This window comes from Homo sapiens, chromosome 11, assembly GCF_000001405.40.
Source record: "Homo sapiens chromosome 11, GRCh38.p14 Primary Assembly".
NCBI lineage: Eukaryota > Metazoa > Chordata > Mammalia > Primates > Hominidae > Homo > Homo sapiens.
This window is the reverse complement of record NC_000011.10, coordinates 102,313,027-102,340,756: the sequence shown is the minus strand read 5'-3', so window position 1 is coordinate 102,340,756 and position 27,730 is coordinate 102,313,027. Positions and strand designations below refer to the sequence as shown.

At 38.0% G+C, this 27,730-nt stretch overlaps 1 protein-coding gene, 1 long non-coding RNA gene and 1 pseudogene across 3 annotated transcripts, besides 7 other annotated features; 1 reads left to right on the top strand and 2 right to left on the bottom strand.

The window, feature by feature from the left end:
- On the bottom strand, window positions 1,354-23,273 carry BIRC3 (baculoviral IAP repeat containing 3). Of its 2 annotated transcripts, NM_182962.3 has the most exons (10): window positions 23,186-23,273; window positions 18,857-18,920; window positions 15,395-16,296; window positions 15,192-15,291; window positions 12,627-12,705; window positions 11,812-11,860; window positions 9,516-9,758; window positions 4,537-4,791; window positions 3,956-3,997; window positions 1,354-3,848 (listed from the first exon to the last, which is right to left on the bottom strand). In NM_182962.3, exons 3-10 carry the CDS (start codon window positions 16,245-16,247, stop codon window positions 3,655-3,657), a joined length of 1,815 nt encoding a protein of 604 aa, NP_892007.1. In that variant the 5' UTR covers window positions 16,248-16,296; window positions 18,857-18,920; window positions 23,186-23,273; the 3' UTR covers window positions 1,354-3,654. The 2 variants fall into 2 exon arrangements, with proteins under 2 accessions (NP_892007.1, NP_001156.1); NM_001165.5 differs by having other exon boundaries at window positions 15,395-18,920.
- Window positions 20,291-20,400: an enhancer, noted in NCBI's record as "active region_5439". NCBI's record gives its function as "activates an Ori minimal core promoter by ATAC-STARR-seq in GM12878 lymphoblastoid cells {active_cell/tissue: GM12878}" and the evidence as "EXISTENCE:reporter gene assay evidence [ECO:0000049][PMID:35858748]".
- Window positions 21,022-21,101: an enhancer, noted in NCBI's record as "active region_5438". NCBI's record gives its function as "activates an Ori minimal core promoter by ATAC-STARR-seq in GM12878 lymphoblastoid cells {active_cell/tissue: GM12878}" and the evidence as "EXISTENCE:reporter gene assay evidence [ECO:0000049][PMID:35858748]".
- Window positions 21,972-22,021: an enhancer, noted in NCBI's record as "active region_5437". NCBI's record gives its function as "activates an Ori minimal core promoter by ATAC-STARR-seq in GM12878 lymphoblastoid cells {active_cell/tissue: GM12878}" and the evidence as "EXISTENCE:reporter gene assay evidence [ECO:0000049][PMID:35858748]".
- Window positions 22,282-22,481: an enhancer, noted in NCBI's record as "active region_5436". NCBI's record gives its function as "activates an Ori minimal core promoter by ATAC-STARR-seq in GM12878 lymphoblastoid cells {active_cell/tissue: GM12878}" and the evidence as "EXISTENCE:reporter gene assay evidence [ECO:0000049][PMID:35858748]".
- Window positions 22,627-23,826: an enhancer, noted in NCBI's record as "BRD4-independent group 4 enhancer chr11:102187662-102188861 (GRCh37/hg19 assembly coordinates)". NCBI's record gives its function as "activates an origin of replication core promoter dependent on BRD2, P300/CBP, MED14 and CDK7 cofactors, and independent of BRD4, by STARR-seq in HCT116 cells {active_cell/tissue: HCT116}" and the evidence as "EXISTENCE:reporter gene assay evidence [ECO:0000049][PMID:35650434]".
- Window positions 23,283-23,642: an enhancer, noted in NCBI's record as "active region_5435". NCBI's record gives its function as "activates an Ori minimal core promoter by ATAC-STARR-seq in GM12878 lymphoblastoid cells {active_cell/tissue: GM12878}" and the evidence as "EXISTENCE:reporter gene assay evidence [ECO:0000049][PMID:35858748]".
- LOC124902739 (uncharacterized) lies at window positions 23,514-24,862 on the top strand. The gene is made up of 2 exons (XR_007062864.1): window positions 23,514-23,671; window positions 24,185-24,862. It is a non-coding gene; the product is annotated as an uncharacterized LOC124902739 (long non-coding RNA).
- Window positions 23,653-23,722: an enhancer, noted in NCBI's record as "active region_5434". NCBI's record gives its function as "activates an Ori minimal core promoter by ATAC-STARR-seq in GM12878 lymphoblastoid cells {active_cell/tissue: GM12878}" and the evidence as "EXISTENCE:reporter gene assay evidence [ECO:0000049][PMID:35858748]".
- On the bottom strand, window positions 26,928-27,035 carry RNU6-952P (RNA, U6 small nuclear 952, pseudogene; annotated as a pseudogene).

Genomic DNA, 27,730 nt, shown 5'->3' with positions numbered 1-27,730 from the left:
AGAACAAAGGGTCTACTAAAGAGACTATCAAAGGGATATAATCTAGATGGGAGAAGTCAGAGAAAGACAGTCTGAGAAAGTAACATGGAGGCTGACACCTGAAGAATGAGTAGGAATTTGCCAGGGAAAGAGTGAATGAAAGAAGATTCCAGTCAAAGACCCTGAAGCAAAAGAGAGTTTGACATATTTAGAAACTGATGAAAACCAAGGTGGCTGAAAGACAGTGAGCAATGGGTAGAGTGGCAGAAAATAAAGTTGAAGACTATCAAGGGACATGTTGACCTGAGGAGGAGCAGGAATATTGTGCAACTTGAAAAAATACCTGTTATTTGCACAGTACAAACTCTGCAAATGAGACCTTGCCTAAATCTTGACTCAAGATTTAGAAGTGGGCATGGTTTTTTTTGTTTTGTTTTGTTTTGTTTTTTGAGCTGGAGTTTCACCCTTGTTGCCCAGGCTGGAGTGCAATGGCGTGATCTCGGCTCACCGTAACATCTGCCTCCTGGGTTCAAGCAATTCTCCTGCCTCAGCCTCCCCAGTAGCTGGGATTACAGGCATGTGCCACCACACCCAGCCAATTTTTTGTATTTTTAGTAGAGACGGGGTTTCTCCATGTTGATCAGGCTGGTCTTGAACTCCCGACCTCAGGTGATCCGCCCACCTTGGTCTCCCAAAGTTCTGGGATTACAGGCATGAGTCACCACGTCCGACCAGGAGTGGGTGTAGTTTTTAAGAGATTGAGTAATACTGACCCACTGATCCTTTTTGTTTCAAGCGTACTTGTATTGCTTTTAAAATAGTGAATCTCTTAAACATCACATCTGTTTTGCCTGGAATTTTCTTTCTTTTTAATTATTTATTAAGACATGGTCTTACTATGTTGCCCAGACTGGTCTTGAGCTCCTAGACTCAAACGATCCACCTGCCTTGGCCTCCTAAAGTTCTGGGATTACAGGTGTGAACCACTGCATCTGGTCTTGAATTTTCTTAGTAACATACATAGTGTCTACTATGATGTGCAAGACAACAAAAGGAGGTGACATCTTCTCCAATAGGAGCTGAATATGGTTCAATCACATTGCCTGTGACCACAAAGGAACTTAATGGCTAATGGTATCAAGCGATATAAGGAAATTAAGAGAAAGGTTGGAATGGAAGCTATAATGAGCATGGCTGAAGTATGAAATTAAGCCTGCTGCAAAGTCCTGTATGATCACACTTAATATATTGAGGTTTAAACCCAATGACTGAAGACCACGTTGGCTGGTAGGTGGGGTTGGAGGCAATCAAATGGATTAATGCATGTCAAGCACCTGAAAACATCTGACATTTGGTCAGCAAATAGATCTACCATTATTATCTATGGTGATTTATTTTTTCCAAAACAAAATGTCAAAATAACACTTAGGGAAATAACATATTTGAATAAATGGGTTGGTTATAATAGCTATTTATTACCATAATGAGAAATGAACAAAAGTTTTACAGTGAGATGACAAAGTTCAAATATTATCTGTAGTATACAAGAACTAGATAAAAAAAAAAACACATGGTGCAAAAAGGGTGCCTACTATTTAAATACCCTATACCTGAGTTACAAATCACCTAAGCACAATTACAAATAATTCAGCCTAGCACCCATGCAGGACACTGGCTAGTACATGGGTAGCCAGCAGAGCCTCTTAGCAGAGGCAAAATCAATTGCATTTCAAGGAAATAAGTCTCCCAGCATCAGAATGCAGAGATGGATTCTTTCCTCCCCTCACTTGGTCCCTAATTGTTCTCTTTACAACACTAGCAGATGTTGGGGCTCAGAAAACCCAAAGTGAAGGCCTCAGAAGCAAAGTTTTTCTCTGATGTTATCCTGCCCTCCTGTCTCAGCCTCATTCTCCCTGAAGGCAAGCCACAGAAACTTGAATTCCTCTTCCCCAAGGTAGGTCATAGAAACTGGAACCATCTTTCCACAATGCCAGACTTACATCTTAAAGATAGTACTCTAATCTTTCCTCACCTAACTATGTAAGAGCTGGCCATAAATAAATTCTCTGACCTACCTTGCTTGATAGCAGGTTATAATATCCCCATCCCATACAGGCCCTGCCCTATATCCAGGAGGAAGGAATGCTGCACAGAGACCAAGAATAATCTGAACAGACAGGCCTTGCTGGGTCCCCAACCTGTGTCTATTCCCATTAGATCATATCCTTTTTTTCCAATCACTATTCTTCAGGGCTGTCCATTCATTATCAAACCTAAGCATAAAAATGCACAGTTTCCCCTGTAATTTTGGATCTTCATTACGAAGGCTCCCCGGTGATGTAAATCTGTGATTAAATAAATTTGTTAAGTTTTTCTCTTGTTAACCTGTCTTTTGTTATAGGATTGTCAGCTGTGACCCTTATGAAGGGGTCTTTCCCTTCTGCCCTTACAGAGCCATCTGCCCCTATACAGACATCTAGAACTGGTTTAGATGACTAGCCTTTGCCTGCCTTCCCCTGAGTATTCCCTATTACAGTCTTACTTCTGCTCTTGAAGACCTAATACCTCTATAAGAAGCAAAGGACAGAGTTATGACTCGGACGTGTTGAGTACCAATAACATAATGCAGAGGGGGACATTTTGTTGCACTGACAATATGAAACAGATTTATTTACCAGAACAACCTGTTGGTCCCAAGCATTGCTAACCAGTGTACTTTCTAAGTTTCAGAATTAATACCAAAGAGATAAGAATAAAACTCAGACCTTCTTCCAATAGGTGGGGCTGGCATGAGACTTCTTGAATGAATCAATAGAGAAGTGAATAAACAAACTTACTAAAGGGACTGTTTGATTCTTGTCTCAGGCATTCCATAATAGATTTTATGATGTGTTGACCCCGTGTTCTACAAGTGTCAATGAAGAAGCATCTTATGGGAAGGAGTATAAACTGTAGTTCAATATTTGAGAGGCTTTAAGAAGGTATGGAAAGAGTCTGGGAGTGACTAAACTATCCAATGTCATTGAAATAAAGCAATGAAGAATAAGAGTAATTTTTGTTGCTTTATTAAATTTTTTCTCACAGAATTCTTTATAAAAACACCATGTCCCTAAAATGTCATTCAACATATATGCACACCTTCGATGTATAGGACACTGATCAAAAAAGACAGAGAAATGTGTCCCTGGTGTTTTGTTTTTGTTCTGTTTGTTTTTAAAGGCAGGGTCTCAGTATGCTGCCCAGGATGGATTCAAACTCCTGGGCTCAAGTAATTCTCTTGCCTCAGCCTGGGACTACAGGCACATACCACCACACCTGGCTTCATGTTCCCGGTATTAGTACAATGCCAAAATATTTAAAATTCTTAAAGGTTAACTCAAATATCTTAAGTTTTACTTCACTTACAATTTCAATAATGCTGAAATTTTGATTGAATATTGTGTTTGTAGTGCTACCTCTTTTTCGTTCATAAGAACAAAAGCCTATCATTCTCTTAGTTTCTAAAAAATATATGTTCATATGGTTTAGATACATATATAAATATGTTACACAAAACAATGTTTTTTGAGTTGTAAATAAATAAAAATTTTAAGGAAACCAAATTAGGATAAAAGTTAAAGTTATAATACATTTAATAAATTAATTCTAAAGTTTAGACGATGTTTTGGTTCTTCTTCATGAAAGAAATGTACGAACTGTACCCTTGATTGTACTCCTACAAATAGGACACTTTCTTAAAGAAGGAGCACAATCTTTGCATACTACTAGATGACCACAAGGAATAAACACTATGGACACTTCTTTGTCCATACACACTTTACATGTTCTTTCTTCTTGTAGTCTCCGCAATTGTTCTTCCACTGGTAGATCTAGAAAGAGGAAAGAATTTTTAATAAAAGGCAGTTTGCTTCTTCAGTGAAAAACTAAGAAAATAAAGACAATGTTCTCTATTGATTTAAAATATTAGTACTATTACCTGAAACATCTTCTGTGGGAATATATTTTATGTCCTGTTGCACTAAGGGAGAAAAAGAAAAAGCATTACTATGACAAATAAGGTTAATATTTAGCTATGGAATCTATTTTAAAAATGAACACTTTAGACTATAGCCAAATACTCATTTCAAGGCAACAGAAGTCTTTAATCTTTTTATGTAACTAATATCTATAAATTAGATTGATTTTTTTTTGAGACAGAGTCTGTCACCCAAGCTGGAGTGCAGTGGCACAATCACAGCTCATGGGAGCCTCTATCTCTCAGGCTTAAGCCATCCTCCCACCTCATCCTCTTGAGTAGCTGGGATTACCAGGCATACACCATCACAAATAATTTGTTTTAAAAATTTTTTGTAGTGATGGGGTCTCGCCACGTTGTCCAGTCTGGTCTCAAACTCCTGGGCTCAAGCAATCCACCTGCCTCAGCCTCCCAAGGTGTTAGGATTACAGGCATGAGTCACCACATTCAGCCTGAATTATTTTCAGTAGTCATAAATTATTAATAAGAGCGTATTTTCAATTGACTTAGAAAATTTTTAAAAATAATTTTCTATCACTCACCAAATAAATGCTCATATAACACAGCTTCAGCTTCTTGCAGAGAGTTTCTGAATACAGTGGCTGCAATATTTCCTTTTACTAAAATCGTATCAATCAGTTCTCTTGCTTGTAAAGACGTCTGTGTCTTCTGTTTAATAACATCATGTTCTTGTTCATTAATAATTCCGGCAGTTAGTAGACTATCCAGGATTGGAATTACACAAGTCAAATGTTGAAAAAGTGCCATTCTATTCTTCCGGATTAATAATAAATCATCTTTATAAAAAAGAAAACAAGCATAAACATGTTCAAACTCTGCTCACAAACTTCCTTCCAGTCCTATATATATAGCAGGATAAAAACTATCTTTAATTCGTAATCAGTAAGGCATTGATGTTGATTGCTAGGTTTAGGGGTGTCTCATCTCCTTTGCTTAATAATAATGTTATTATAATTATAATCCAGGGTGCAGTGGCACATGCCTGTAGCACCAGCTACTTGGGAGGCTGAGGTAGGAGGATCACTTGAGCCCTGGAGTCAGAGACCAGACTGGGCAACATAGCAATACCCTGTCTTAAAAAAATATAATAATAATAATAATAATGCTACTTATAGTAAGGACTAACATTTAGTGAGCACTGTGTTAAGAACTTTACATGTATTGATTCATTTCATCTTCACAACAGCTCTTTGAGGTAGGTCCTAATAGCCTCATTTAACAAATGAGAAAATGAAGCTGCAGTGAGGCAATTAAGTTGCCGAAGGACACCACAACTAGCAAAAATCAAACTGAGGTAGTCTGGTGTCATGTACTGTGCTTTCAATCATTTGGCAATACTGCTAAGCCTTTAACCAAATGGAACTTAGAACCCATTAAAATTGACGTTTCAATTCAATCTAGTCAAATTGGGGAAAGACAAAATCAAGAGAATTAAAACAATTTTTTCTTAAAGTGTCATTCTTCCATAAAATTTCTTTTATTATTTATTTATTCATTTTTAAAACAGAGTCTTGCTCTGTCGCCCAGGCTGGAGTGCAGTGGTGCGATCTCAGCTCACTGCAACCTCTGCCTCCCAGGTTAAAGCTATTTTTGTGCCTGAGCCTCCTGAGTAGTTGGGATTACAGGCATGTGCCACTACATCCAGCTAATTTTTTGTAGTTTTAGTAGAGATGAGGTTTCACCATGTTGGCCAGCCTGGTCTCGAACTCCTGGCCTCGAGTGATCCGCCCACTCCGGCCTCCAAAAGTGCTGGGATTACAAGTGTGAGCCATTATGTCCGGCCCATAAAATTTCTTTAAAATTCCATTTTAAGTTGAAATTTTAATTATTTCCAGAAATTAGACATATTGCCATTACCTAAATATTTTATAGTAAGCAGGGAAAGGCAGTAACAGCATTTTGAATAATAAACCCTATTTGTCAACGACTACCTTCTCGTCCTACAAGATATCATCTAATTCTCCTTCAAGACCTAGATTTTGTATCCATTGGTAAAACATTTTATATTTTAAAACTGCAGTTTTATTATCTCTTTGGAATATAACTTATGAATCTAAGTTTATTAATTTTCATATAGCTTACCATAATCCATAAAGCTGTTTCTAAAAAATAACTAATGACAGAGGCTGAGCTATCTGAAGAATTGTTTTGGGAGAGAGGATTGTTAGATTTTAGATACACTGACTTTGTCAAGTGATAGGACTCATAAAAAGAACCATTTAAGAAAGAATAAAAAATGGAAAAAAGAAAACAGCAAAAATCAAAAACAACAACCAGAAAATAAAGATGATGCTTAGTCAAAAAGACAAGGCTAAAGACATATTTTGAAAATAATGGAAGCTCTGAGAATAAATGAGAAAAGGGTCAGGAGCTAGAATAGTGTCTGGCACAAAGTTAATGCTCCATAAATATCTGTTGAACAAATGAACAATCAAACCTTAGTTCTATAATTTAAAGAGTAGGAATGAAAAGTAATGGTGAGAGGGGTAGAAGACTTAGAACTTAATATATTTTGTTAAATTATTTCTATTAGCAAAGTAGGGATATATTAGAAAATAAAAATACAAACTTGGTGTTGAAGTATACTAGTTTTTCAATCTAAGATTTATTTTTGTAATTATACGTAACCTAATATAATGCATTCTCTGAAGTTCTTAAGATTTCTAAAATTTAATTGCTAGTAACTGAGAAAAAGTCTCATTTCAAAGTTGTAGACTATATTCTGGTTTGCAAGTTCAGAAGACTTGAGTAGCTGGGATTACCAGGCATACACCATCACAAATACTTTGTTTTAAAAATTTTTTGTAGTGATGGGGTCTCGCCACGTTGTCCAGTCTGGTCTCAAACTCCTGGGCTCAAGCAATCCACCTGCCTCAGCCTCCCAAGGTGTTAGGATTACAGGCATGAGTCACCACATTCAGCCTGAATTAAAACAATTTTTTCTTAAAGTATCATTCTTCCATAAAATTTCTTTTATTATTTATTTATTCATTTTTAAAACAGAGTCTTGCTCTGTCACCCAGGCTGGAGTGCAGCGGTGCGATCTCAGCTCACTGCAACCTCTGCCTCCCAGGTTCAAGCTATTTTTGTACCTGAGCCTCCTGAGTAGTTGCCTTTGAAGCATATTATTAATTTTGTTTTTGCTTTTCTTTCTTTCTTTTTTTTTTTTCTTTTAGAGAGTGTCTCACTCTGTTGCCCAGGCTGGAATGCAGTGGCATATGATCATAGCTCATTGCAGCCTCAACCTCCCTGGGCTCAAGTGGTCCTCCCACCTCAGCCTCCTGAGTAGAGCTGGGACTACAGACACATGCCACCACACCCTGCTAATTTTTATATTTGTTTATACAGACAGGGTTTTGCTATGTTGCCCAGCCTGGTCTTGAACTCCTGGGCTTAAGCGATCTGCCTGCCTCAGCCTCCCAAAGTGCTGTGATTACAGGTGTGAGCCACCACACTCAGCCATATTATTATTTTATTCTGGGAAAAAAAAAATCTTAAATTACCTCTTTATTTATATCCCTACTATTCTTGGGAAACTATAACGTAATCATTAACCTAAATGTGTTTTCATTCACTCACTCACAACACAGACTATATGCAGGCACGATACTAGGTAGTAGAGATATATATATAATGGTGAGGCAGAAACGCTAAGGGCTCTTTTTCACAATGTAAATTATTATATATTGTTGACTTGAAGTCATTTCTGGAGACTTTTCTGATTGTCTTTGAAAGAAATATAAATATTTTATAAGTGGATAGTTTTAGATTTTATGGGGTCTCTCAACAGTTGTGGAGATAAGTGTTCTCTTCTTTGAGCAATTGTTGGCTGATGACAAATGGCTACCACTAAGAAGGCTACAGGAAGGACATGCTTGCCTAATCTTCACAGAGAAAAGAGAATTTGATGAGGCTGGGCAAAGGTTAACCGTGACTGTATTGCTGCTACACTAGTGGTTTATAGACTGAGTAATTCACACTTTGGTGAATGTATGATGCTATATCACTATGGTCTGATAGGTTTGTCTGGGTTGGGTCAGAGAACAAATCCATCTTCATGGGCAGGGTTGGATTTATCCCTAAATGAAGTGGACAATCTGACTGTCAATCATCCTGTGAAGAAATAGATCCCAGATGGCCTTGCACAAGGATAAGGAGAAATCTTTATTCTCCTTCTGAGCTTTATGAATATTGGGGGGGCCTGAATTTTGATAAAGGAAAACATTATTGGGACATTCCTAGTGACTTGTGTAAACTTGCCAAAGCTACACAGAGATGAACCAGAAGCTAGGCAGGGGAGATTTATGAGGATGAGCCCGGGGGCACTAAGAGAGGTCACAGCTAGTTGCAGCTGTAAATCAACATTTGTGATATAATTCCCTTCCGTTTTCCTTAAGTCTCCAGTAAGAGCTTGTTAAAAGTTGCAGTCTGTTTTCAGCTGTGTTGAAGGGACTTATAGGTCTGGTCCATGCTTGGGAAAGGAGAGATCAGCATTTCTTTTTGTCTAGGACAGAATGATGATAGCAGTCAAAACAGCCAGATGAGAATGTATGTGCCCAGAAGAGTTTTTGTGAAGGGCAATAGAGAACATAGTGGATACGTTTAGTATGGAAGGACATGAACAACTTGTCCTAAGAGATTGTGAAACAGTATACTAGGACTTGCCTAAATAATCGACGGATGCTCTGGAAGACTCAGTTCTTGTGTGGACAGGTAGGGGACTTAATAGTAATTTGTGTATTAATGTATAGTCACAGGCTAAGACATGCTTTTATGCTAACATTAAAATTAATAACCATCCAGCCAGGCACGGTGGCTCATGCCTGTAATCCCAGCACTTTGGGAGGCCGAGGCGGGCGGATCACTTGAGGTCAGGAGTTTGAGACCAGTGTGGCCAACATGGAGAAATCCCTTCTCTACTAAAAATACAAAAATTAGCCTGGCATGGTGGCAGGTGCCTGTAATCCCAGCTAAGGGAAGGAGGCACGAGAATTGCTTGAACCCAGGAGGCAGAAGTTGCAGTGAGTTGAGATCATGCCACTGCACTCCAGCATGGGTGACAGAGTAAGACTGTCTCAAAAAAAAATTAATAATTGTCCCTGATCCCACCCTGATTTACTCCAAAGGGGAGTGAGCAACTAGCCTGGGATTAAAAATGTGCCATGATGCAACAAGGATTCCATTTTCAAAGCGTTAAGAAAAAAAAAATGTGCCATGAATGCATAATTGGACACAACGTCAGCTATCCAGAGAAAAAAATATGAATTAAGGAAAAACATGAAAAATACTTTTGTACATCATACATTTTTGACTTATGAGCAACTCAAATATATTTGAATATGAATAAATTTTTCAGCATTTGAATTCAGAATACTAAACATGAAAAAAACCTGACTGGATTGAGTATATTTTCAGATATGCTAGATGAGTATATTTTTCATAACATATAGACTGATATCAAATCCTTATGAAAATAGACTGTATTAATAAATCTACATACTTGATTCTTTTTCCTCAGTTGCTCTTTCTCTCTCCTCTTCCCTTATTTCATCTTCTGCATTGAGTAAGTCTAACACAAGATCATTGACTAGTCTATAATTCTCTCCAGTTGCTAGGATTTTTCTCTGAACTGTCTGTTTTACCAGGCTTCTACTAAAGCCCATTTCCACGGCAGCATTAATCACAGGAGTATTCATCATGATTGCATCTTCTGAATGGTCTTCTCCAGGTTCAAAATGGATAACTATATGGAACAAAGAATTTAACACATATTAGGATAGCCTTATATTTCTTAAAAATTGAAATTTGAAATGAAATCAAAAATTGAAAGGTTTTATAATATTAAAAATGTAAAACCAACAAAATGTATAGGCATTATTTTGTATGAACATTGTTAAATTTAAAATGATATACACGTTCAGTCATTAAATAACAACTTGGAATATTGTACTTAGATGCAAAATACACATTACCTGTCATAACTGGATATACATATGTGAGCAGGAGAAGGAAACAGAATGGCAGGGATTACCTCCCACTAGAATTGAGATTATTTTTCCCTATGTTGAATGAACAAATGAGTTTTCAATCAAGAATAATTCACATATTTTTCAGAGAGGCTATGGTTATAAAATATTGCTTCCTTGGAATTCATTCTCAACAGTGCAATCAGAGTGACTTTTTAAAAACACAAATATGATGTGTCACACTTCTTAAATTCCATCAACAATTCCATTGCTCTTAGGATAAAATCCAAAATAAAGTGTCTTACAAAGTCTCATACAATCTGAACCTTGTTTACCTCTTCAGCCTCATCTCTTGCCACTGAATCATTCACATTCTGCACTCTAGCCCAGAAGTCACAAACTGATGGCTCTAGTGTCAATTCTGCCTGTAGTGCTGACCACTCATACAGCTGGCCTGCTTCCCTGATTTATCTATTAGCAACTCCTACTTCTGGCCATATGGAATTTTGTTCAGTTCTTCAAAGGTGCCTATTCTCCTTTGTCACTTCGGTCTTTCATATGCTGTTCCCTCTGCCTGGAATACTCTTTTCTTCCATTTGTCACTCGGTTAACTCCTACTCTTCCCTTGGATTTTCTGCTAAGACAAGTACTTCCTTTGGAAAGCCTTTTCTGACCCTCCAAGTCTGGGTTAATTGTCCTATATGCACTCTCATATTACACTTTACTTTTGCTGCCATATCCCTTTCTCCTGTCTGTGTATTTGTCTGTTTCCAGTAGATACATGAGACCAGGAGTTATGTTTATCCTGTTCTGTATTCTTTTTTTCCTTTTTTTAAATTATTTTACTTTAAGTTCTAGGGTACATGTGCATAATGTGCAGGTTTGTTACATATGTATACATGTGCCATGTTGGTGTGCTGCACCCGTTAACTCGTCATTTAACATTAGGTGTATCTCCTAATGCTATCCCTCCCACATCCCCCTACCCCACAACAGGCCCTGTGTGTGATGTTCCCCTTCCTATGTCCAAGTGTTCTCATTGTTCAATTCCCAACTATGAGTGAGAACATGCGGTGTTTGGTTTTCTGTTCTTGTGATAGTTTGCTCAGAATGATGGTTTCCAGCTTCATCCATGTCCCTATAAAGGACATGAACTCATCCTTTTTATGGCTGCATAGTATTCCATGGTGTGTATGTGCCACATTTTCTTAATCCAGTCTATCACTGATGGACATTTGGGTTGGCTCTATCCTGTTCTCTATGCTTTCCTCAGAACAGGCGATATACAATATACAATAAATATATACTGAATTGAATTGAACATGAGATAATGGAGTAGAGGGGCTTGTACAAATATTAGCTCTGTTGCATTTTAGGTGTAAGGTGATGTACAAGTCATTTAACCTTTCTGAGCCTCAGCGTCCCTATTTAAAAAGGTGACTAACGTGTTCTATTCTTTCCCTTTCACAGAAAGAATATGTGAGCAATCTAATATCATAGTACATCTGCTCCCACACTGGCCCAAGAACAAGTGTTAGGCTGGATGTATGTAGTTTGTTAAAACTATACATGCCTGAGCCCCACCTTTAGATACTCAGATTTAATTCAGTAGGTCTGAAGTAGAAACTGGAAATCTGTCATATTTTTTAAAGTTCTCCAGGCAACTCTGATATGCACTGAAGTTTGGGAAATACCAACACAGTATATTTGAAAATGCATTCATCGTAAATTATAAATCAATATACAGGTACATTACTATTATCAACTTTCAATATTAACAGTACCAAATGACTCTATTTAAATGCATTCATTATTATCCATTGTACTTACTTGATGACTCTGCATTTTCATCTCCTGGGCTGTCTGATGTGGATAGCAGCTGCAGAAAAAAAAAATATATATATATATATATATATAAATTAAAATAGAAATCTTATCTTACCCATTGCAATGAAAATGACCCAACAGACATATTTTATTCAACTTGTTGCAAACCACTTGCTTACTGGCAAAATAATTTTTTAACCAAAAGCAATATTTCATTTATATTTGATAGTTATTCCCTAGGCCATAAACTAATAGAGTTTCAGTGTGTGTATATAATAACAAAACCCATTTTCATTAAGGCAGGAAACGGACTATATCTTTTCCATAATCCATGTGACAATCAATTTTCCTTTCATCCACAGGTCTTACCTACCCTGGGTCATCCTTTGGGATAAGTTGGACCCTGTATCAGTTTCATTGCTCATGGCTAGGATGGGTTTGACCATCAAACTATTATGTAAGTTATTTGCTTTCTCAAGGTTAGAAAAAGCAATAAAATTCTCTTTCTCAGATCTTTTGAAGGAAAATTTATATAGTGAAACTGTTAAATACTACTATCCCAGTCATTTTTTCTCGAAGTTTGATTTATTGCAACTTGTTTGAAAAACATCACAAGTGTCATTATCAGGAGACTACCATTTATGGATCTATTTTTCTCCAAAGAATAATACTTTCTAAAATCATGTCAGGTTTGATAAGAAAAAGAAAATGTATTTCTAAAACAACTCTTGTCTTTTCACTCAAATAGCACTCTCTGTAATTATCAGAAAGCAATTTCTCTGATGGCAACCAATATTTAAAAAAAGAACTTGCCCTACCTGTTCAAGTAGATGAGGGTAACTGGCTTGAACTTGACGGATGAACTCCTGTCCTTTAATTCTTATCAAGTACTCACACCTAAAATGTAAAGAAAATAAAATTTGAGGGATTATTTATACAAGTGAAATGAAAATGTAATAACATAAATTTCTCATCTCTAGGTGTTTATTCCATTTCAAATCTGGTTGTTTGCCTCAAATCACAGAATCATTTAAGATCATTTATTCTAAACTTAATGTTAGAAGAATAAATACATCCTAGCCCACTGGGAACTGATTCTATTGTATTGCTTTTAAAAAAAAAACTTTTTTTCTAAAACTAACCCATAGTTATCCTATGACAGGATTCAAATTTTTTGTGTGAATTTTTAATTGTTTTGTAAGATGCTTCTCATGACAGTCAACATTTTTCATACAGGTTGAATGTTTTACAAAATTAATATTTTTATATTTGCCAAGATACATTATGCTTCTGCTAATTTTTTTTTTTTTAGACAGAGTCTCGCTCTGTCACCCAGGCTGGAGGGCAGTGGGATGATCTCAGTTCACTGTAACCTCTGCCTCCCAGGTTCAAGTGATTCTGGTGCCTCAGCCTCCCGAGTAGCTGAGCTTGCAGGTGCCTGCCACCATGGCCGGCTAATTTTTGCATTTTTAGTGGAGATGGGGCTTTACCATGTTGCCATACTGGTCTCGAACTCCTGACCTCAAGTGATCCTCCTGCCTCAGCCTCCCAAAGTGCTGCGATTACAGGCATGAGCCACTGCACCCGACCACTTCAGCTAATTTTGAAAAGTTCTAAAGGTTTATCTTAATTTGGGCAGGACTAATCCAGCCATTTGTAGACTGGCTATTTCAAGTGAGTATAAACATACATATAATCAATTTACTCTTAATATATTGTGAAGTATAAATATTTCAAATGAGTATAAATGTACATATAATCAATTTACTATTCATTTAGCATATAGGGAATGGTCAGAGATATTGCAGTGAAAGGCAGGTTGATATAAGCAAGAGGAAGGTGATTACTAGTTATCTACCAAGGCTCAAGTGGACAAGGGTCAGGAGCCCCTCAGTCTACTGAGGTCAAGTAAGACCATCTCTCCTCAGAGCTCTTAGCTACTCTCTTCAACTCTTCTAAGATTCTTAAAACACACTGATGTTGGCCGGGCAAGCACCTCAAAGTCCTGAGGTCAGGAGTTTGAGACCAGCCTGGACAACATGGTGAAACCCTGTCTCTACAAAAATACAAAAATTAGCTGGGCATGCTAGCGTGCACCTGTAATCCCAGCTACTAGCGAGGCTCGAGGCATGAGAATTGCCTGAACCCAAGAGGCGGAGGTTGCAGTGAGCTGACATCACACCATCGCACTCCAATCTGGGCAACAGAGCCAGGCTCCATCTCAAAAGAAAAGAGGAAAAAAAGTAATCAAAATAAGTTAAGATGCCACATTTATTAATCGATATTAACCCATTTCCCATTTAGAAAAAAAACAGTGCAGCTTGTTGCCAGTGCAGTATTCTCAGGGCAAATGGGAAACGGGTTGAATAATAGCAAAAGTTTTGACCATGAAAAAATGTAATTGTAGGCCACATGATTTAGATGAAAAAGGAGAGTGTAAAAAACTTTTTGAAGCTGATATTTTAGTTAGTACATTAAGTTTCTTACCCACGTGATAAAAACCCACACTTGCAAGCTAATCAGGATTAACTAGAACACTAGGTGGCCAGTTAAACAATCAAAAGGGTAACACATCACATTAAAATGCTGCGTGGCGACTAAAACAGATGAGATGAGTCTATACTTACCCTGACCACCCAATTTAATATTGTAACCTGCCTGGCATTTCTAAACTCCTCTTTGTTCTTTTTATTGATTGTACTTATTTTCCAACATGCTATAGAACTTATTCAAGTTTTTATTAGTTGTCTGTTCTCTCGTGCTATAATAAAAACTTAGGAGACCAGGGGTCTTTGTTTTGTTCAACTGATTTTATGCACCCAGAACAATGCCTGCCAATAGGTGATCAATTATTATTGAATACCGAATGAATGGAAATATATCCAAGACAAATGTTGACTGAAAAAACTTCAAAACTAGATATAATATTTAACTTATGTAAAATGGTGTACATTTATTTCTATATGTATATGTATTTATTTCTATATGTATATGTATCATATACATTTATTTCTATATGTCTGGAGGGATGTTCACTAAAGTGGTAACCATGCTCATCCTTAGGCGGTAAGATTTCTGGACATTTTAATTTTCCTTCTCTGTGCTTTTCTACAATGTGTGACTTTGTTTTTATAATGAGCATGTATTATTTAAATATATATATATTTCTTTAAAAATTAAACAAAAATCCCCAAATCTATTTCTTCGTTGTCTTAAGTCCATCGAAACTTTTTAAGTAAGTATTTTACTAAGTAATCCATCCTAAACTTATTCACAAATATATATTTGGAACAGAGTAAAGTAACAACTGATTTCAGGTGAACACATATAAGCAATCTCATGATAATCACAAGAATTTGCAAAGAGAATTTCAAAACAATTACCTTGGAAACCACTTGGCATGTTGAACCCATGGATCATCTCCAGATTCCCAACACCTGAGTCCACCATCACAGCAAAAGCATTTGACATCATCACTGTTACCTAAAATTAATTTTAGACCAAAACTTATGAATACACATAATTTGCCCACTAAAATGTATAAAATGAAATATATTTTTTTTAATTAGCAGATTCAGTTTCTTACCCACATAATAAAAACCCGCACTTGCAAGCTGCTCAGGATTAACTAGAACACTAGAGGGCCAGTTAAAGAATGTTTTAAAGCGGGCTGCATGTGTCTGCATGCTCAGATTAGAAACTGTGTATCTTGAAGTGTCTTGAAGCTGATTTTCTATAAATGGGCATTTGGGAAAATGTCTCAGGTGTTCTGACATAGCATTATCCTTCGGTTCCCAATTGCTCAATTTTCCACCACAGGCAAAGCAAGCCACTCTGTCTCCAGGTCCTATGTAGTAAAAGCCTGCTTTTGCCAGATCTGTTGGCGACAGAAAAGTCAATGGCCATGTCTGAAAAGTAAGTAATCTGGCATTTTCGTTATTCATTGCACAGTGGTAGGAACTTCTCATCAAGGCAGAAAAATCTTGATTTGCTCTGGAGTTTACAGGATTTGATGGAGAGTTTGAATAAGAGCCACGGAAATATCCACTGTTTTCTGTACCCGGAAGTAATGAGTGTGTGGAATTTGTTACTGAAGAAGGAAAAGTAGGCTGAGAGGTAGCTTCCAAGTTGTTAACGGAATTTAGACTCTGAACGAATCTGCAGCTAGGATACAACTTTTTATGCTTTTCAGTAGGACTGTCTCCTCTTTTCCAGTTATCCAGCATCAGGCCACAACAGAAGCATTTGACCTTGTCATTCACACCAGTGTAATAGAAACCAGCACGAGCAAGACTCCTTTCTGAGACAGGAACCCCAGCAGGAAAAGTGGAATACGTAGACATTCGGTACAGTTCACATGACAAGTCGTATTTCAGTTCAAACGTGTTGGCGCTTTTCATCAAATTTGATAAGAATATGCTGTTTTCTACTATGTTCATAATGAAATGAATGGGGAAGAAAAGGGACTAGCCTTTCTCTAGGGAGGTAGTTTTGTGCATGGCTTTGCTTTTATCAGTTTTAATACTAGGCTGAAAAGCCAAAATGAAAAATTTTTTATTATTTTTATTTCTATGCATTTAGAGTTTCAACATGGAGATTCTAAATCCTATACTGATACATTTTAAGGAAGAAATACACAATTGCACCTTTGTATAATCTTTATACATACAATGTAAACATGATGCTACAGAGTAAGCTGTGTTGAAAATTAAAACCCTTCACAGAAGAGTGATGTGTATTAAGCCATCAGGATGCCATTTAATGGCAGGCATCTCCACAGGTAGGTCAACTTCTCCAGGCTACTAGAATGTTTCAGTGGCATTCAATCAACCCAAAGATGTAATGTGTGACTCATGAAGCTTCTTTTCATGGTGGAAAGCTCTGCTGTCAAGTGTTTCACAGCAAAAATATTCAGAATATGTTTATTTTGCTTTTTGGAAATTGTGAAATTTAGTGGCCAGGAAAAAAAAGCACAAGACCTAACTCAAAGGAGGAAAATAATACATTACCATATTTCACTGATTCTAAGATGGCTATTTTAAAACTTCTGTTATCAAGAAGTATTTCATAATTAATGACATCATATTTTAATTAGAAGCACTTTTATTTCTTAGAGGTACGTAAAATAATGGTAAGATTTACAACTGAAGACATTTTGAATTCAGTGAAATATGATATATCCCCAATTTTTCTCCAATTAGTCATTTTTTTCTTTCTACAATCCTTCTAATAAGGAGAACAAAACAATCTAAAATTTCTCTCCAAATAAAGAGATTTACTAGTAACAGGACTGGCTAACACATCTTAAAACCTGGTTTCAATATTAATTAAATAATAGTTATTTCCCATAGATCATCAGGAATATGATTGCTTAAGTATAATGATACTATTAGATCTTACACAATTAAATATTCTATTTAAAATAAATAATCAGAGATTAATGTGTTTGTTCATTTGGTCTTTTGGACTCAGTTTCATGCTGTTGAAGCAACTCAATGTTAAGTTTTTTTATTCTAATAGTATACTTGGCTAGAACATGGAAATGTCCTCTGTAATTATGGTAGACAACAGGTGCTGCAAAAAGAGACTCTGCCCAAACTACCAATAACAAAACTGAACTTCATTGCTATATTCAGGTTACTTTTGGAAAAACAGAATCATGATATATATTTCATTCCCTTTGTTAAAAATTTTCTTAAGATAATTTAGATATGGCTGTAAAATAAGACCTTTCAAAGATTTTAAATTTTTTGTCCCCCTCAAAGAACTAACATTGTAGAGTTATTCAACTTATCACCTCCTGAAAACATTTTTGAACTTTTGTTTTTCTAAATGTTTCTGAAGCCAACATCAAATCTACTCTGATAGTGGATTTATTTTTTAAAACAGTCAAAAGTTACCAGATGCCATCTGTAGGCTAAGATGGATAATCAAATTGCATCAATTTAGTTTTGGTCAGAAATTATTTCATGGATAGCATACCTTGAACCAGAATTTATCATGACAAAAAAAATAATAAATTTACCATTTCAACAGCAGAGACCTTGTCAAAATTCAGAATTTCTCAATTATGATTTACTAGCCATTAGTAAAGAGGTTCTGAGTCGATAATACTAGCAATGACCAATAAGCAAGTCACTGTGGCTTTTTTTTTTTTTTTTTTTTTTTTTTACCAGTGGTTTGCAAGCATGGTTTCCTGGATCTCACAGACGTTGGGCTTTTCAACTGCAGACTTCAATGCTTTGTTTCCAGGTGGCAGGAGAAACATCACATCTCATTACCAACAATTATTTCCCTCAAAGGTAAGTAATTGTATCTAACTTCAATATTCCTTTCCCTGGCCAAAAATTTTACACATTGTTATAAAAATCTTCTTTGTATTCATCACTGTCTTTATATTAATTTTCTAAGTTTCTTCATTTCCTAAAATGTAACCTTCAACCATCATTCTCATCCTCATCATTCTCAGCGGTAACAGCCCATTTAAACAAACTTTTGGACGTTTAAAATATCAGTGGCCTTGTAAATAACTGGATAATTTCTTGACCAATCATCACATTTATCTTTTTACTTCCTCTAAATTTGTTGCACATATCAAAAAGCTTTGTTCTTGATTTTTCTTTGTCACTGTAGAAGTATTTTAATGTGTCAAAACTTTCATCTGCATGTTTCTTTAATTTGCAGTGGATTGATTATTAGCTCTTTGTTCCAAATAACTGTCACTCATTTTAAAATCTTTCCCAAACACAGGTACTATTTCTATTCTACATAATGGGAGAATGTGCCAGTAGGAGACTGCCTGGCCAACTCTGAAAAAAATGCTTTAACAATATGCCCCAGCTAGAATCACTTTTCCTTTATTTCCACAAATCAAATTCAAAATCAAACTCATTATGGTATACCTTATATAACTCGATCATGTTTATAAAATTAGCATTCTTTGGATAGTAAAACACCAGTTAATACTTAATTTGTTTACCCATGCACAAAACTACCTCCCGAGATTAGACTAAGTCCCTTTAAGGATTTTAGGTCTCCATTTTGAGATGTTTTGATTTATAGAAGAAACTGAAAAAAAAATCTAGAAGAAGTCGTTTTCCTCCTTTGTAAACCTGTTCAAAAACAAACAAAAAGACAGTTTTAAAACTCAAACGACTCATGGATGGAACACAATGACTTTTTAAAAAATCATTTTCTCCAAAATAGAGTACTAGTAATTACTGATCGTTTACCATGTATCAGGTGCTTTACTAGGCACTGTAGAGGCCAAAAAGAGATAAAAAACAGAGGCCTCTGCCTGGTGCAGTGGCTCACGCCTGTAATCCCAGCATTTTGGGAGGCCAAGACAAGTGGATCACTTGAGGTCAGGAGTTCAAAACCAGCCTGGCCAAAATGGTGAAACCCCATCTCTACTAAAAATACAAAAATTAGCTGGGTGTGGTGGTACGCGCCTGTAATCCCAGCTACTCCGGAGGCTGAGGCAGGAGAATCATGTGAGCCTGGGAGGTGGAGGTTGCAGTGGGCCGAAATAGTGCCACTACACTCCAGCCTGGGTGACACAGCAAGACTCTGTCTCAAAAATAAAATAAAATAAAATAAAACCCAGAGGTTTCAAACTGGAAGACATATTATGTTTGGCTTACATAGAATTGCATTATAGTTCTTTACTAAGTTTTTATTTTTATTTTGAAATTTATTTATACTTAGAGAAAGCTTACAAAAATAATAGTTTCTGCATACTCTGCACTTAGCTTCCCCAAAGCTAACATCTTACCTAATTACAGTGCAATTAAAGAAACCAGAAAATTCACATTGTACCATGCTGTAGATTAATCTGCATGCCTCATTTGAATTTAATCCAGTTTCCAAATCCATTTTTTTCTTGGACCACAGTATTTTTAAATCTTACCATTAATTGCCAACATGTTTAAATGTAAGAGACTTCCCATCACATTCTAGATTCCAAGCTTCTCTTGAAACATCAAAAGATCTAGCAACACTGGGCCTATAGTCCTGCAGGGCAGCAATCAGCTAAAGCTGAGCAGCAGCTGTGCCCTTTAGAGAGGGAACATGTTCTCTTTGATTCCCTGACACTGGGACTGACTGTTCTGGTAGTCTCCACTAACAGTAACAGTCTAGCAATAACAGACTGTTGCTATTTGTCATTGAACTGGCACTATTGTTTTTCTTACAGCAGAATTATGAGAAAGTGAAATCAATGTAACACATGTGTCCATCAAAAGTAACAAAAATGAAAAGTAGAGAAAAAGGACATATGTTTTGAGAAAAATAGGATAATTTTTGTCTTTGTGGAAAGGAAGGATATTCCTTCATATCAAATACGTAAACAGAGTATGCTTTCATTTAAAAGAGACACCCCACAAGGCCTCATGCCATGGCTCACTCCTGTAATCCCAGCACTTTGGGAGGCTGAGGTAGATGGATTGCTTGAGCCCAGGTGTTTGAGACCAGCCTCAAACTGGGTGACTTGGCAAAACACCATCTCTACAAAGAAACTCAAAAATTAGCCAGACATGGTGGCACCTGCCTGTGGTCCCAGCTACTTGAGAGGCTGAGGCAGGAGGTTCACTTGAGCCCATGAGGCAGAGCTTGCAGTGTGAGACTGCATAACTGCACTCCAAACTGGGTGACAGAGCAAGACCCTGTCTCAAAAAAAGAGAGAGAGAGAGAAAGAGAGACACTGAGAGTTTTTCTCATTTATATCACCTCCATTTGAGTTTGCAAACCCCTTACACAAATCTTATCCTAAAGAAGCTTTAGGTCAGGCGTGGTGGCTCACGCCTGTAATCCCAGCACTTTGGGAGGCCAAGGAAAGCAGATAACTTGAGATCAGGAGTTCGAGACCAGGCTGGCCAACATGGTGAAACCCTGTCTCTACTAAAAATCCAAAAAAAAAAACCATCGGGCGTGGTGGCACGCACCTGTATTTCCAGCTACTCAGGAGACTGAAGCAGGAGAATCACTTGAACCCGGGAGGTGAAGGTTGCAGTAAGCCAAGATCACACCACTGCACTCCAGCAAGGCATATATTTGTGGAAATTTAGGCAACAACTATACAATAAATATACACAAATATGCCAAGATGTCAACCCTAGATCACTTCAACCTCTGTCCTAATCATTTCCAACACCTAGATGCAACCCTGCAGACTGGGACCAGCATCACTTAAGACTCCTCTGCCATCCCTTAGCAATAGGCTCAGCTCCCTAGCCCATGCCCTATGCACCTCTTCTAAACCTTCAACACCTTCCTCAAATTTCTCCACTGCACTCCATCTCATTTTCAGTCAATTACTTTGCCTTCTGTTTCTCAAAGAAAAGAGACATCATTGAGCAGGAACCTTCTCACGTTCTCATATCCAAGCCGTTTTGGCTCACAACCTACTTGCTGTCTCAGTTAAAGACTTGCCCCCTTATGGGATCCTACACTGTCCTACTGCCTCAGAAATCTTGTTCTTAATCCCATCCCCTCATTGCTTCAACTCTCATTCCTGTCACTCTCGACTGGCCTTTTTCCTTTCACATAACCATGCTTAAATCTATCTCAACTTTCAAATGAAAGAAATTTTTAAAATTCTCTTTCGGCCGGGTGTGGTGGCTCATGCCTGTAATCCCAGCACTTCAGGAGGCTGAGGCGAGTGGATCACGAGGTCAGGAGACTGAGACCATCCTGGCTAACACGGTGAAACCCCGTCTCTACTAAAAAAAATACAAAAAATTAGCCGGGTGTGGTGGCATGCACCTGTAGTCCCAGCTGCTCAGGAGGCTGAGGCAGGAGAATCGCTTGAACCCGGGAGGTGGAGGTTGCAGTAAGCCGAGACTGCACCACTGCACTCCAGCCTGGGTGACAGAGTGAGACTCTGTCTCAAAAAAAAAAAAAAAAAATCCTCTTTCAACCACACTTTCCACTCTAGCAACTACCCTGTATCACCCCTTCTCTTCACAGCCAAGCAAACTGGACATGTGTGTATGGTTAATGTCTCCATTTTCCCTCTCCCATTTACTCATTAAGTCAGCATCACTTAAAACTGCTTTCGGTGTTAATAACACCAATGGCTTTTTTGCTAAAACCAATGGAAATGTTTGCATCTGACACTGGGACACACTTCCTCTTAGAAATGTCCCATTCCCTGGGCTTCTCTGATACCAAGCTCTTGGGATTCTTCTTTCATTTCTAGTGGTTCCTTCTCAGATTGGCTCAGTCCCCAGCCTCTCCTCTTCTGACTCATTCATTTAACCTACCAAGAAGGCAACCTCCCCAGTCCCAGGGCTGTTGGGCATCCCTACCCTTTGGGCATGCAGCACATCCATTTTTCTGACACTGGAGGGCAAGTGTGCCTTTTCTTTCTGCCTCCCGCTAGACAGTAAGCTCTTTTAGAATGGCAACTATTAATATGTTTCATCTCTGTACCTGCCCTCCCACTCATAGCATCTGCAGAGCTTGGTATATGGGGTAGACACGAAGACTTCCCGTTGAAGAAGTAAATGACTGAGACCTGAGTGACCACAGTACTTCTATCAATTTTATATTAATGACCACAGAGTCAGCTCAGTGATTGATTAGTATCAGGCTTTGGAGTCAGACATCGGGGGTGCCCAATACCAAGCAGTCCGGTAACCAGAAGCATGACCTTGCACAAGTAAATCTCCAAGAGCCTCAGTTTCCTCATTGTCAAATGGAGATAATTATGGTACCTGCTTCTTAAGATTATGATAATTAAACGTGAAAAATACATGTAAAGTCTTCAGAGACAAACCTAGCACATAGCAGGTAGCAGTACTTAATGTTAGCAATAAATAATAGCAAATAAAGTCAATATTTAATATTATTGTTACGTTAGCATCAGGTACATGCCTTCGACAATGTATTGATCAGAGTAAGAGCACTACTAGGTTTCCATGCTGATCACCAGGAAGACAACCAAAAACTGCTGTCTTCCTACCACCGCTTGGAAACATGCGTCCATTTGCTCATTAAACGTTTTACTTCCTTCCTGTGCCAGAGCTCTGCCTTAGGCTCTGTCCTGAAATTTATTTGGCACCTGCAAAGGCCCAGTGATAACTCTTGGCAACCGAATCAAAATGCCACAACTTCACAATTCCACTGGCTCACTCCAAACGTGAAATAGAAATTGAGCACCTGGAACCTATCTAGAGCCTGCTTTTGGGCCCTGGTGTTTGATAACTGCGCCCCACCCACTGACTCTCAACCTCTGCAGCGCCCCGGGCTCTAGCCCTAAGCGCCCCTCGGCCAGCCGCTGGCACATCTCTTACACCAGGGGAGGCGCGCGCGCGCGCACACATACACACACACACACGCACACACACACACACACACACCAGCCTTCCTTGCCCACCTGCTGCCCAGAGGCCGACGACGCATGCACCAGCAAGGACAAGCCCAGTCTTTTCAAGCGACACCTGTCGCCTGGCCTTTTCCGTGCCGGAGGGCGCGAGTCTCACGCTGTCTTTTAAATGCGTCACCCAAATCCCCACCCCTATCTGTACCAGGCGTTCCGCACTCCTCCCAGTGGTTTGCATGTGCACTGGTGCTTTCCTTTTAGGACTTAGGGGAACTCCAGCGGTAATAACCACACACACTTCCTCTTAATCAGTGGCCTGGCAAACCCACTCGGGGATTTCCATGACCCAAAAGCATGACTCTTAACCGTGGCATATCTTCGCGGCATTTACTGAAAGACATTTGCTTCATTGCTCGTGGGTCAGAGGAAATCTTGATAACAACCCATATAGAGAGGACGATCATTGCTTAGCCTGCCTGGAAAAGGTCAATATGCCCTGTTCTCCACCCTCCATCCGCCATACACTTTACACGTAAAAAGGTTAGGTTTTTCAATCTTCTACTATAGCTGCAGAAGTCCAGCATTTAAAAAAAAAAAAATCGAAACTTTGTGAAATATTTCTATTTATTTTTACTTTTTGTTCTGATCAAGAAAGTAAGAGGTGAAAGGAAATGTAGGGGTATGTGAAAAAAATCATGCAGTTCTCCTTTGCAGTTTATTTTACCATTTTAAAGATTGAAATGGCTTGGTAAATTTTCTGTATGGAAATACTTTTGTTTGGTTTGGTGAGTTGTTTTTTTTTTTTTTTTAATAAGTAGGGTGGAGTTGGCTACTTAAAAAAATCCCTCCTTTATAGCCTTTGATCTCACAGGGCAGGTTTCTGAGTTGCAGTGCCATTCTCAGGGAAACCTGACATCTTTGAGTCTAATTGCACTGCCATATTTCCCTCAACGTTCTCTAAGCAGTAAATTTAAGCAACTTTATCTGAGAGCCATCCGTACCAGGGTAACAGATGGATTTGGAGAGCTCATCTGATTTTCTATCTTCCAGTAGATCAAAGACAATTACCAACCAGAGACAGAGCCCATAAAGATTATTGGAGACTTCATCGTTCTGTGGAAACAGCATCCAGTGCATTCTGCACGCAATTGGACTGAGCTGAGGCATCCTCTTGTTTAGGTGGACTTGGCTGTCCATAGCAGCTGAAGTTCCAGTTGGAATTATTTCAGAAAGACTAAGTGTATTTATCATATGGAGATTTTAATCCACATTTGAGTCTGCTTCAATCAAGACTTTCTAAGCCATTTTCAACTCACTCCTGAGATTATTGAAAATAATTTGCAGGCCTTACACATTTTTGATTATGTACTCACCAGAAGAATTTTGAAAAGCTCTGCATTCCCTTGCCCATTTTTAACTTAACATTAAAACATAAAGCTCTTGTACATGTCAAGAATCTACAAAATGTAAACATAGATATTTTCAGAAAAAATTGATAGAGCACTCTTTTAAATGTATTTGATGGATCCTAATACCATAGTAATTTGACATACATGATCATCCATGAAGCAATTATCAGGTCATCTTTAATAACTGAAAATATTTTATCATTGCCTTTTGTCATTGAACATTCCAATTCCCCTACAGAATGTTAATACATGTTTGTACTGAACATCTTTTATCATCTCTCTGTCACATATCTCTGAAACAAATACATATTAGAACTTGAAATCTATTTTTTTCTCTGGGATCATAAGGATCTAAGTGTTAAAAAAAAAAAAAATTCCTCTTTGACCAGGCATGGTGGCTCACGCCTATAATACCAGCACTTTGGGAGGCGAAGGTGGGTGGATCATCTGAGGTCAGGAGTTCAAGACCAGTCTGGCCAACATGGTGAAACCGGTCTCTCCCAAAAATACAAAAATGAGCCAAGTGTGGTGGTGCACGCCTGTAGTCCCAGCTACTTGGGAGGCTGAGGCACAAGAATCACTTGAACCTGGGAGGCAGAGGTTGCAATGAGTCAAGACAGTGCCACTGCACTCCAGCCCTGGAACAGAGTGAGACTGCATCTCAAAAAAAAAAAAAAAAAATCCTCTTTGATTACATTATCATTGATATTGTTTTCATTACTTTTAAAGCATAATTGGTCAATACAATATAAAAATATCGTAAATGTTAATAACTGCATTACAAATACAATTTAAGGGGGTGGCAGCTTGTATTTTAAGCAAGTTTTTCAAGTGTGCAGTCATGAATATTACCTATAGCTATAATATGTTAGGGTTCAGCACAGATTCTGTTCCTTTTTTCATTTCTACAGACATAAATGTTGTAAACCTTATTTCACAGAAGTAAGTAGATAAGTAGATAGGCCCAGAAGAAACATTATTATGGCAATTTTTTCACAATTTAAAAAATATGTTTTATATTCCAAAAATCATTTAGTGATCTCTAATCAAAATATGTAATTACTTATCAGTAGACAACTCAATTTTGTTGAAATTGGTGGTTTAGAAACCACTGAACTTTTGGTATCCAGATACAGTTGACAGAGTTAGCAAATTAAAACAGAGAACACCTAGTTAAATTTTGGTTTAATATAAACAATGAATGCATTTCCAGTATAAGAATGTATTGTGCAATATTTGGCACCTAGCTATACTAATAAGTTATTCATTAGTTATCTGAAATTTAGATTCAGTTTGGTGTTCTGTATTTTACCTGGCAACCCTATATCCAGATATTAGAGTCATTCATTTTCTCAACACTAATACAGATCGATTATTTCAAATCATCCAGGAGGTTTCTACACCCAGAGAAATATACGATTTTAAAACTCATGATAGGTGAGAGGTGAGCCTGTCTTTTAAGGGAAGACAGAGAACCATTGTGAAAAGGGAGATGAGAAGACAGAACAACCCTGGCAACCTTCACAGTTCTTGTTTTCAAGCAGATCAGTTTTGGGAGAAGCTACATATGGAAGTTGAGAGTGAGACTATTAATTCCTTAAAACTATTTGAGCTCCCACCTCCCTGTTGGTAAGTCTTTGTAAACACCCAGGGGCACACTTACCCCAGTTTAAAAACTATGGCTGGCCAGGCACATTGGCTCACACCTGTAATCCCAGCACTTTGGGAGGCTGAGGTGTGTGGATCACCGGAGGTCAGGAGTTCGAGACCAGCCTGGTCAACATGGCAAAACCCCATTTCTACTAAAAATACAAAGATAAGCGGGTCATGGTGGCAGGTGCCTGTAATCCCAGCTACTTGGGAGGCTGAGGCAGGAGAATTGCTTGAACCCGGGGAGGCAGAGGTTACAGTGAGCTGAGATCTCGCTACTGCACTCCAGCCTGGGAGAGAGAGCAAGAATCCATTGCCAAAAAAGTAAATAAATAAAAATAAATAAAGACCATGGCTTAAGAAATCCCTGAATTGACTGAGTCTCGCGTTTTTCAAACTGGTCATGAGAGCTAGGGTCAGGCCTAGTAGGTTGGAAGCAAATTAACATGTCTGCTTTGCAACATTTTGCACAATTAAAAAAAAAATGGTTTCCCTAGATAAATGTGTATGGGCAAGCACTGTATATATTTGTTCACTGCATTATTCTAGTACTAGTAGAGTGTCTGCTCAAAGGTGCTCAGTAAACCTTTGTTTACTGACTAACAAAAATAGAGCCAATCTATCCAAACTATCCACTTGGGCTTTCTCTATTCTAAACCTGCATCCACATCTTTAATGGTGTAACCTACCTTGCATTTTCTTTCTAACTCTTTGTATATCTCACATACTTTATTAAAAAAACTCCTCTTTTCCTTTCAACATCCAGCTGTTATCCTTGTGCAGGGGGCATGCTAATCTTCTTGGTAGGGTTCCAATTTTAGTATATGTGCTGCCAAAGCAAGCACAGCCTAAATATATTTTCTCTCCAAATACTCTTATTTTCTTCCAAGCCAGTGAATTCCAAGCTCCAAATACTCTTTTCACGACAGAAATACACAAGGAAACCTTTGAGGAAAGTGAAAGCTAGACACAAACTGTATAGCCATTACTATCTTCAGTTTTCTAGGTTTGTTTGTGGTTTTTTTGTTGTTGTTTTCTCATTTTTATTTTTTTGAGACAGAGCCTTGTTCTCAGGCTGAAATGTCACCCAGGCTGAAATGCGGTGGCACAATCTCAGCTCACTATAACCTCAACCTACTGGGCTCAATCAATCCTCCCATCTCAGCCTCCTGAGTAGTTCTGACTACAGTCACGGGCTACCATGCTTGGCTAATTTTTGTATTTTTTATAGAGACAGAGCCTTGCGATGTTGCCCTGGCTGGCCTCTTGGGCTCAAGTCATCTATCTGCCTTGACCTCCCAAAGTGCTGGGATTATAGACATGAGCCACCACACTTGGCCTCTTGGTTTTCCAGTTTTTTTCTACTGTCAGTGTATGAGCAAGGTATGAATGACAGAGTTTTTCATCCCATTCCTGGCTCAGAACTCTGACAATTCCTGAGAGCGGTATGCTCTCAATATCCTATTATCAAATAATCAATTTAAAAGTATTTTTCCCTTGGGGGAATTATTATTAAAAATATTTTTTCTCTGGAGGGAAT